Genomic DNA, 10428 nt, shown 5'->3' with positions numbered 1-10428 from the left:
CCTCAAACACCTGGGCTAAAGTGATCCTCCCACCTCAGCCTCCTGAGTAGCTAGGACTGCAGGCATGCACCAGCATGTCTAGCTAATTTTTTTTCATACTTAAACCTTTTCCTAATTATTACAAAGTCAATCAAAGAGAATACTGAGGCTATTTTCACAAAAATTGGAAATCATGATTGTGGCTGACAATGGCAGTCTTATGCAAATCTCAATGTCCAATTTATTTCTATAATCTTTCTTGGATACACAATATCAAGAAAATCCTGATTCAAACAGATAAATAGCTTACCCTACAATCTCAAGATTCTCTTCAATCATACTGATCTCAAATCATTGAAGAGGATTTGCAGAATTTTTTTGTTTCAAAGTTATATTGCCACAATATCTAACAACTAGCTTACTTCCTTATAAATACAAAAGTCAGTCAATAAACATCTCATGCTTACTATAAATGCCAAGCTTATCAATTTTATGTCACTAACACAAAGAAATGTGTTCTGATTTTCCTTGTCATTGCATGTTTATTATAGCTCAATACAGGCTGAATAAATGTGCCTGAACTTCATTTGTGGCTATATACAAGTGCCTAGAGAAGAGCCTACCATCTTGTAGGCATAAAATAAATGTAAAATAAATGAATGAATGGACAAACCAACCTTGCCTGGTATCTCATTAAGTATTAAATTATATCTACATTTTTATTTTTACTTTTTGATTCTTACTTATGCACTTTTTGAATTTTAAAAAGATCAGTGCAGAGCTCTACACGTCATAATCAATGACTCATTTCCAAGACTTTCAAATATATCCACAGATCTGGCAGTAGAAGCTTTTCTCCAAGGTCTGCCTGAAAACCGTTAACAAGGCAGTATTGGTTGTCTTCAACATATCAAATTTAGCATAAAGCACATTTCAGATTGTGTTGATTCTTATTATAGTTTTGAAAATTACATGAGAAATTTGAATCAAAACATTTGTGGAACCCAAAGCATGCCATGGAACTCAGGGTACTCTTGAGTTCCAAGGAGGACAACTGGAAACCCCACCCAAAGTTTATGCAGGCCACTTCTTTCACAGAGGTCTTGTCTCCAGCAGGCATCTCTGAAAGACATAATGGGCAGTCACTAGTGACTATTCATGCACCCTCCCTGGTTTGACAAAGTTGCCCATAGCTCACTAAAACCACAATTTTCATGATTAATTTTTTTCTTTACCTCTGTCTAGTGCACTGGGTACTAAGAACTTTACATGCATGTTCTCACTTAGTTCTTTAAAAAAAACCCTGTTCAGCAGATATTATCATTGTTTCCATTCCTATTCTACAGTTGAAGGAGTTGAGATAGAGAAGTCACAAAGATGGGGCATGGCAGAGCGGAGATTTTCCTTGTGCTGACTAACTCCAAAGCCTGCCCACATTGGCAGATGATGAGGGCTTCCTGAAACCAGCTTGTTGGGCTTAACAGTAAAAAAATGCAGCCTGAGATTCACTTTTATATTTATTTCTTTATTTTGACTTTGACAATAATAAAGACAAGAATATACTTAAGCATATTGGTTCAAATGATATTAGTAAATTCAGGATTGTGTTTTCCAGTTCCAGACAATCAGATCTCAACCTTGATCACAACTGCCAGCATGTCAAACTCAAATGCCAGTTTTAATAAAATATGATTTAAACATTCTTTAAAGGTATCTTATGTACTTTAAGAACGGATTAGTATTGCAGATTTTATTTAATGCAGATATATTAAATGCACTATTGTGGGAGAATAGATGTGATGACTGTTCTTCCAACAATTTTATTCAATGTACATGATATGGAAACTTTTGTTCACAGAGTAGTTTGACATAATTTAGACTTCAACTGACACAGGACAAACAGGAGCATGAAATCCCAATCCTATTATATCACTTAATGATAAGATGACATCAGTATATGATTTCATTATTTTTAAGGTTATGTTTAAAACAACAACTCAAAATTAAAAGAAAATTATGCAGTGAACTTGGAGACCACTGAGAATATATCCAAGGGTAGCCCCACACCACAGGTCGTGAGTTCTGCTTTGAGAGATTCATATGACAGTATTTTCTCATCTCCCCGCTTTCCAGGGTGGACTGATTCCAGCTCCGTGGAGAGAGAAAACAAAATAGTACTATAATAAAACACTGCGTCTTAGCCTCTCTTATTGGGAGGGCAGTCCCATCAGTCAGCCACATTGAGGTTCACCCTCAGATAAGGAAGGAGGAGAGTGATGTGTGAGTCACAAATGAGCTGGGAGGTGAGGGCTGGTGGCGTGGAGGGGCTCCATGGAGCCATCTGCTACCTGCAGTGGCAAGGGAGGCCATTTCCTCTGCGGCTGCACAGGTGAAGTGGGTGTCTTCACTCACCACACCCAATTTAGAACATGATGAATCCCTCATCACTCAACTTATTAACATTTGCCGAGCTAGTTTCATGTCTGCCTCTACTCTCTGGCCATATTTTGACATAATTAAAACATCAAAACCATTATCTCAACTAACAAAATAGTAATAATTTTATAATATAATCTAGTGCTCAGACCATGTTTGAAGAGGCAGTGGAGAAGCACCTGAACTTTATTATATTAGTTTTTTTTAATTGCCATTTTTCTGAACTGAGCTGAAAGTGGTGCTTCCATTTGATCACCCTGGGAGGCTCTAATGAATGTGCATTCAGCACCACACACTCCCCTGTGGCATCTCTGATTAAAGTTTGCTGTTTATATTGCCCTTGGCCCAGTGGCTTACACCTGAGCAGTACCTTGGGCTTCCTTGCCTTTAATTGAGAAGTATTACCTTGGAGGCCCTTTAAGTAGAGCTGAGCCAGAATGCAGGGAAAAGCACAGCAGTTCCCTGCGTACCTCCTCCAAACCCTCACAGCCTCCCACTTGCTGCTGACCCCTGCTTCAGGACTCCACTTCCGAGGCCTGGCCCAGGCTCTTTTCTGGCTTTTGTCCTCTCTCACCTTGCTCAATCTCAGCTCTGACAGGTCCCCTCAATTTCAGGTCCTCTTGCCTCTGGTGAATAAATACTACTGCTGCTGCGTAGTGGTTTCCTAAGGCACCTCTTCTATATCTTTGGTCTTTCTCTCCCTCTGATGATTTTCTTTCTCCCCTCTTTCCATCAAACCAATACAGCTCCAAGAAGCCTATCTACTATTTCCACTTCCCATCCTGAGGCTGGGTTGGGTCTCTCTATCCCGTGTTCTGTAATACCATCTTGTGTGACCATCATCTTCTTAGACATCTGCCCCTCCCACTCAGCTTTGAGCTTCATTTCATCCTCCACAGTCAGCACAGTGCTTGACATGAAGTAGCAGGTCCTCAGTAAGTGTTTGAATGAATGAATGAATGAATGAATGAATTCAGTCGCAGCCCAGGAGGCCCCACCTTCCTGGCCATATCTCTTGAACCAGGGGAGGAGAATCCAACCCTGCTCTGGTCTGTTTGATCATCTCCTCTCCATAAAACACTGGGGCCCATCACCACGCTTACTTTCAATAGGACATTTCCAGGATCTATTTGTCTTCACTCTCCCATAACTAAATACATTGGAATGAGCATGATGTTGATGATAATGATGATGAGAATGACTAACAAAATAACAATCCCCTCCATTCATATATGATTTCATATTTTAGATAGTGTTAATGTGAATTGTCTTATTTAATGCTACAGGCTTATTTGATGCCTATTTAAGTAGTTTGGTAGTTATCAATTATCCTGTCTTCACAGAGGAAGAATTGTCTGAGGTCCTGGGAGGGTAAAGTAAGTGGTGGTAAGTAGTGGTTCATACTAAAAACTATGTTTTGTAACTTGTTATTTTGTTTTGTTTGTTTGTTTGTTTTCCTATGAAATCACACACCAAGTTGTCATACTGGGGATATGCTCTTTACTCTCTGTCACCCATTGTGAATTACTTATTTGGATCATTTCTATAAGAGTGATTCCCAACTTTTTCAAAAAAATAATTTTTTCCTGCTTTAAAAATTTTGTAATAGCAACTTTGGCACAAAATGAAGAAGTAGAGAGAAAAATGTGATGAATCCCTCATTACTCAGGCTGCTAACATTTGCCATGCTAGTTTCATGTCTGCCTCTACCCCCCGGCCATATTTTGACATAATTAAAACATCAAAACCATCATCCCAACTAACAAAATAGTAATAATTTTATAATATATTCTAGTGCTCAGACCATGTTTAAATTTTCCCAGTTGCCTCAACAATGTCCTTTCCTTGTTTGTTTGAGGATCCAATCAAGATCCACACACTGCAATTGGCTGATGTGTCACTTTAAACCTGTAACATCCTTCTTTTTTTTTTTTTTTTTTTTTTTTTTTGAGACAGAGTCTCGCTTTGTTGCCCACGATGGAGTGCAGTGGCGTGTTCTCGGCTCACTGCAACCTCCACCTCCCAGTTCAAGCCATTCTCCTGCCTCAGCCTCACGAGTAGCTGGGACTACAGGCATGTACCAACACGCCCAGCTAATTTTTTGTATTTTTAGTAGAGACAGGGTTTCACTGTGTTAGCCAGGATCGTCTCAATCTCCTGACCTCGTAATCTGCTCACCTCGGCCTCCCAAAGTGCTGGGATTACAGGTGTGAGCCACCGCACCTGGCTTAACATTCTCTTTTTAAATGCCACTTATTTGTTGAGGAAATAGGCTCATTTCTCTAGTAGAATTTCCCACATTCTGGATTTGGCTGACTGCATCTTTCTGGTATCATTTGATATGTTTTTCAACCCACGTTTTTCAGAAACACTTTTCCAACATCAGTACTTTTGCAATTTTCTTCTCCCCATGCCTGGCCCAGAATTTACACACATTAATGGCTGCTTGTGTGTCTGTGTGTGTGTCTATGAAAAAGTTCAGAATTACAAAAAGCCACTGTCAATTTAATAATGCTATAATCTAAAATAGAATATTATTAACCACAATAGTATTATGTCTATTTTAAAAACAGCAGTGCAAAAACATATATATTTCTTTTTATTTTAAGTTTAGGGGTACATGTGCAGGTTTTTCATATAGGAAAACTTGTGTCATGGAGGTTTGTTGTACAGATTATTTTGCCACCCAGGTATTAAGTCTAGTGCCCATTAGTTATTTTTCCTGATCCTCTCCCTCCACCCTCTGATAAACTCCAGTGTGTGGTGTTCCTTTCTATGTGTTCATGTGTTCTCATCATTTAGCTCCCAATTATAAGTGAGAATATGTGGTGTTTGGTTTTCTGATCCTGCATTAGTTGGCTAAGGATAATGGCCTCCAGCTCCATTTACATTCCTGCAAAGGACATGATCTCACTCTTTTTTATGGCTGCATAGTATTCCACGGTGTTGTATACCACATTTTCTTTATTCAGGCTATTATTGATGAGCATTTAGGTTAATTCCATGTCTTTGCTATTGTAAATAGTGCAACAATGAACATATGCATGCATGTATCTTTATAATAGAATGATTTATATTCCTTTGGGTATACCCAGTAATGGGATTGCTAGGTCGAATGGTATTTCTGTTTTTAGGTCTTTGAGGAATCACCACACTGTCTTCCACAATGGTTGAACTAATTTACACTCCCACCAACAGTGTATAAGCATTTTCTTTTCTCCACAATCTTGCCAGCATCTGTTATTTTTTGACTTTTTAATAATAGCTATTCTGACTGGTGTGAGATGGTATCTCCTTGTGGTTTTGGTTTGCATTTCTGCAGTGATCAGTGATGTTGAGCTTTTTATCATATTTTTGTTGGCTGCATGTATGTCTTCTTTTGAAAAGTGTCTGTTCATGTCCTTTGCCCACTTTTCAATGGGGTTATTTGGTTTTTTTTCTTGTAAATTTGTTTAAGTCCCTTATAGATGCTGGATATTAGACCTTTGTCAGATGCATAGTTTTGAAAAATGTTCTCCAATTCTGTAGGTTGCTGTTCATTTTGTTGATAGTTTCCTTTCCTGTGAAGAAGCCCTTTAGTTTAATTAGATCCCATTAGTCAATTTTTGCTTTTGTTGCAACTGCTTTTGGTATTTTTGGCATGAAATCTTTGCCTATTCTTATGTCCAGAATGGTATTTCCTATGTGGTCTTCCAGGGTTTTTATAGTTTTGGGTTTTACATTTAAGTCTTTAATCCATCTTGAGTTAATTTTTGTATATGGTGTAAGAAAGGGGTCCAGTTTCAATCTTCTGCATATGGGTAGCCAGTTACCCCAGCACCATTTATTGAATATCCTTTCCCCATTGCTTTTTTTGTCAGGTTTGTCAAACATCAGATAGTTGTAGGTAGGTGTGTGGCCTCATTTCTGCGCTCTCTATTCTGTTCCATTGGTCTATGTGTCTGCTTTTGTACCAGTACCATCCTGTTTTGGTTACTGTAGCCCTGTAGTATAGTATGAAATTGGGTAGTGTGATGCCTCTAGTTTTATTCTTTTTGCTTAGAATTGCCATGGCTATTTGGGCTTGCTTTTTATTTTTATTTTATTTATTTGTTTTTGTTCCCCATGAATTTTAAAATAGTTTTTTTTCTAGTTCCATGAAGAATGGCAATGGTAGTTTAATATGAATAGCATTGAATCTATAAATTGCTTTGGGTAGTATGGCTATTTAAATGATATCAATTCTTCCTGTCCATGAGCATGGAATGTTTTTCCATTTGTTTGTGTCATCTCTGATTTCTTTAAGCAGGAAAGACATATGTATTTCTTATTCAGCCTTCAAACAATGTCCATGCTACGGACAAAGCCGGGGTCCCTGGGGTCACTTAATGCCTCTTTTCCCAACCCTCTTGCGTGGCCAGTAGCCTTAGGACAGGTTGGTAACCACTATCATAAAATGACAATTAGTGATAATATGCTGCTCCTCTTAGAGGTGTTTATATTTAACAGGAGGAAAATGCTTCAAACCATAAGAGGGTCTTTGGTTGGGGTCAATTTCTGGGGAATTCCTAACTGTTCTTCCTCTATGATGAATTTAAGCAGTGGTGTACTGGAACCTGTTGGCATGGGCTCATGGGACCCTACTGTTAAATTTTCACAATACTGCATATCAGTAGCTTGAATAAATCATTATAGGAGTATTTATAGTAGGGAAATTAGTAAATGCAATAAGTAAGCCCCATACCCATACTCCAGAGTGCCAGTTTTAAAATATTTGTTAACATACTACTGGATTTATGCATTAAATATGGGAATTATATGAAGACAGTCTAAGGCATATTCTTCCCTGTCTGTCCTTATAGAATTCTTTTCAGCCTCAAAATAAAATAAGACAAAATGTGTTATTGTTGGCCTGAGAGAGACCAAGAAAATGGAACTTCCCTTTACAAACCTTTCTTCATCCCTTACTCTGCCAAATCTATCAGAAAAGCCCTAACCTAGAAACTATTTCTGTTTTCACTGCTTCACAAAAAGGTTCTAGTTTTCCCAACCAGGAAACCATAGGTAAGTGTGTTTGGTCTGCCAGATGGGGTCAGTTCATAGTAAGTGAAGGACTCTCAGCTTGTGGCCTAGTAGGAGTTGTGTCAAGGGGGAGAAGGCCAGGCTCTATCTCTGGGGTGAGAGATGGACCTGGCTTGGGCTTGATCCTTTGCCATGGCTTTCAGCTTGAGTTGTCTTGTTTGTGAGATGGGGATAATGATAGCTATCTCATGGTGTTGCATATACCTAATTACATAATGCATACAGAGTGCCTTCCATCAGTGCTCAATAATTGACAGGAATTGGTTTTAGTAATTCTTTCTAAGGACAAGAGTTTCAGATATTTCACCCCATGACCTAGGGTTCATCTTCAGGTTGCCACTTGCTAGTTCCTTACCTGGAAATATTCCTAAATAAACCACTCAGACTAAGGTAAAAGTCATGAGGAGGCCATTCCAGCGGAGCTTCCAAACAGGTGTGTCTGAAGTATTGATTTCCTTGGGGTATGAGACAGCCAGAGCCCTAGGCCTGTTGTCTCTGGCTCCAAATGCCTCCCAGTAAGCCCAGTGCGCTGTGTCAATATTGGTCATTTGATTTATGGACCTTTTCTGAAAAAGTTGGGGGATGGGGCACTGAGGAAAACCCATGCTTGAGAAGGGGTTGCTGGTGTCCTGAGAATTTGTTGCTCTGGATTTTCCTGGAGGACAGGATAGAGTGTCTGGCATATGGGGCACTGATGGGATTCACGCCTTCCTGATTCAGCCAAGCTGTTGTTCTTGTGTATGAAGAGGGAGGCTTATGGATCTCTTGCCATTTTTCTCATAGAAAGGTGAGGATGCAGGTTGAAAGGTTTTATTGGAAGAATGTTGCAGGAATGTAGAGGGCTATCTGTTTGTTAGTATCCACATTGGCCCAAGGCAATAATACAAGGAGTTATTTTCTGAACTTTTCAATTGAGGGATGGGTAAGGCTCACTGCTTAGTTGGTGAGAGCTGCGCTGATCTGTTGGAACACAGTAAGGATCGGTCTGCTGCTGTTCGCCCTGTACCTTATTTATCCGTGGTACCAAGAAACTGTCTTTTGGATTCACCATGAGGAATTTTGAAAGAGTCACAGGAGCAGTTCCGTGGTGCTGAAAGATACAATTTGAAGTGGGAATAAGAGAGTGGGTAGATGGCAAGAGGTGCAATGGGCTTCAGTAGCACAAGAGGTAGAATGATCAATATGAGGCTGGTCTAAAGATTACAACTGTTAGAGGGAACTCTATGAAGAGAAATTTCATATCCTCCCTGAATTTAGCACCACTAATCGGAGGAAAGCCTGAGGATATTTTACCGTGGCTTTAGGAACTATTTATTTATTTGGTGTGTGTGTGCACGCATTGTGCTGCCTTTTGAAACGCCTACCAGAGAAAATGTACGTTCTAGAAATGGGCTTTTGAAAAGACTTGTTTTTGCAAAACAGCTTGGGACGAAGGTCATTCTATAAAGGAGTTCTGGCTTTTCTTTTTTAATGGAAATTAGCAATTTATCTTAAGAAAGTTATTGAAAAGCCAGTTCATTTATTTGCATAATGATAAAATGTGCCAGAATTTCTCTGCTCTGCTATTATTAACGAATGGAGACACACAAAATCTCAGTAAAAAGACATAAAAGGCACCCAAGTGTTCTTTGGATCTCTTTATGAACCAGTCAGCTTCACCAAATGAAACTGGCACTTCTGTAAAAACATATTTCTGTAAAAATCTCATGTAATCAATAAATGCCTGTTTAAATGCATACTAGGCAATGTGCTACTTCCTTCTTCTTGTGTGGCATCTGCTTATTATGTTATCTTAACACCCAGAAACACACTCCTCCCTTCCCCCAATACTCACATTAAACTGCTTCATAAACAGAACAACATTGTCACAGGAAATGGAAGCAGTTCCTAAAAACTTATTGACTATGGGAGTTGAGGAAAGGGAGAAGTCTGGGACTAGTCCTCATTTCTGGCCTTAGAGACAGAAAGGTCATTTTAATTGAGATGGGAGAAACACCCTAAACTCAATTGCCTTTTAAAGTTAAACCCCTTCAACACAGGGCAAAATCTCCATGATTGCCTTTAAGATCTTATATCAGACTGAGCTAAAAGAATTTGTTAAGTATTTTCTAAAGCTCAGATACAATAGAAAGAACTGACCTTCAATTATAACGCTAAGTCTCAGGTGAGCTTCCCTGATTGGCAACACTTCACGCTGTGTTGTCACTCATTGTTGCTGGGAGAATTAAACTGGCCCTCCTGTGGTTCTTCTGGGAGAGGACAGCTGGAAGCTTGTGCCTGGTTTCTCTTGGACTTCATCCCGTGAACGTTTTCCTTTTACTGATTTTTAATCTGTAACCTTTTGCTGTAATAAACTGGAAGAGTGAATATAACTGGTTTTCTCAGTCCTGTGAGTTTTTCTAGTTACCTGTTGAGCCTCAAGGTGGTCTTGGGGACCCCTGACACAAAACCTCAGATGGACCCCTGACACAAAAACTTTGGATGGAGGACGGGCGCGGTGGCTCATGCCTGTAATCCCAGCACTTTAGGAGGCCGAGGCGGGCGGATCACGAGGTCAGGAGACCAAGACCATCCTGGCTAAGAAGGTGAAACCCCGTCTCTACTAAAAATACAGAAAATTAGCCGGGCGTGGTAGCGGGCGCCTGTAGTTCCAGCTACTCGGGAGGCTGAGGCAGGAGAATGGCATGAACCTGGGAGGTGGAGCTTGCAGTGAGCCGAGATCGCGCCACTGCACTCTCCAGCCTGGGCGACAGACCGAGACTCCGTCTCAAAAAAAAAAAAAAAAAAAAAAAAAAAAACCACTTTGGATGGAAAAGGCATATTGTAATAAACTTGAGAGTTTCCTGAAGGACTCTGAATTACATAGGAACACAAAGAAGGTTACAATAGCTCTAGATAGTGAACAAGTTATTTTGGAGTATATCCCCAAAGTTTATCATGAGAAAATAGATT

The 10428-nt window shown here is 39.6% G+C and overlaps 1 annotated feature.

Annotated features, from left to right (window-relative positions):
* Positions 9305 to 9927: an enhancer, noted in NCBI's record as "OCT4-NANOG-H3K4me1 hESC enhancer chr1:175777677-175778299 (GRCh37/hg19 assembly coordinates)". NCBI's record gives its function as "activates a minimal SCP1, AML or CMV promoter by ChIP-STARR-seq in naive H9 embryonic stem cells {active_cell/tissue: H9 hESC(naive)}" and the evidence as "EXISTENCE:reporter gene assay evidence [ECO:0000049][PMID:30033119]".

The sequence above is a fragment of the Homo sapiens genome, chromosome 1 (assembly GCF_000001405.40).
Source record: "Homo sapiens chromosome 1, GRCh38.p14 Primary Assembly".
NCBI lineage: Eukaryota > Metazoa > Chordata > Mammalia > Primates > Hominidae > Homo > Homo sapiens.
This window is presented reverse-complemented; position numbering and strand designations above follow the sequence as displayed.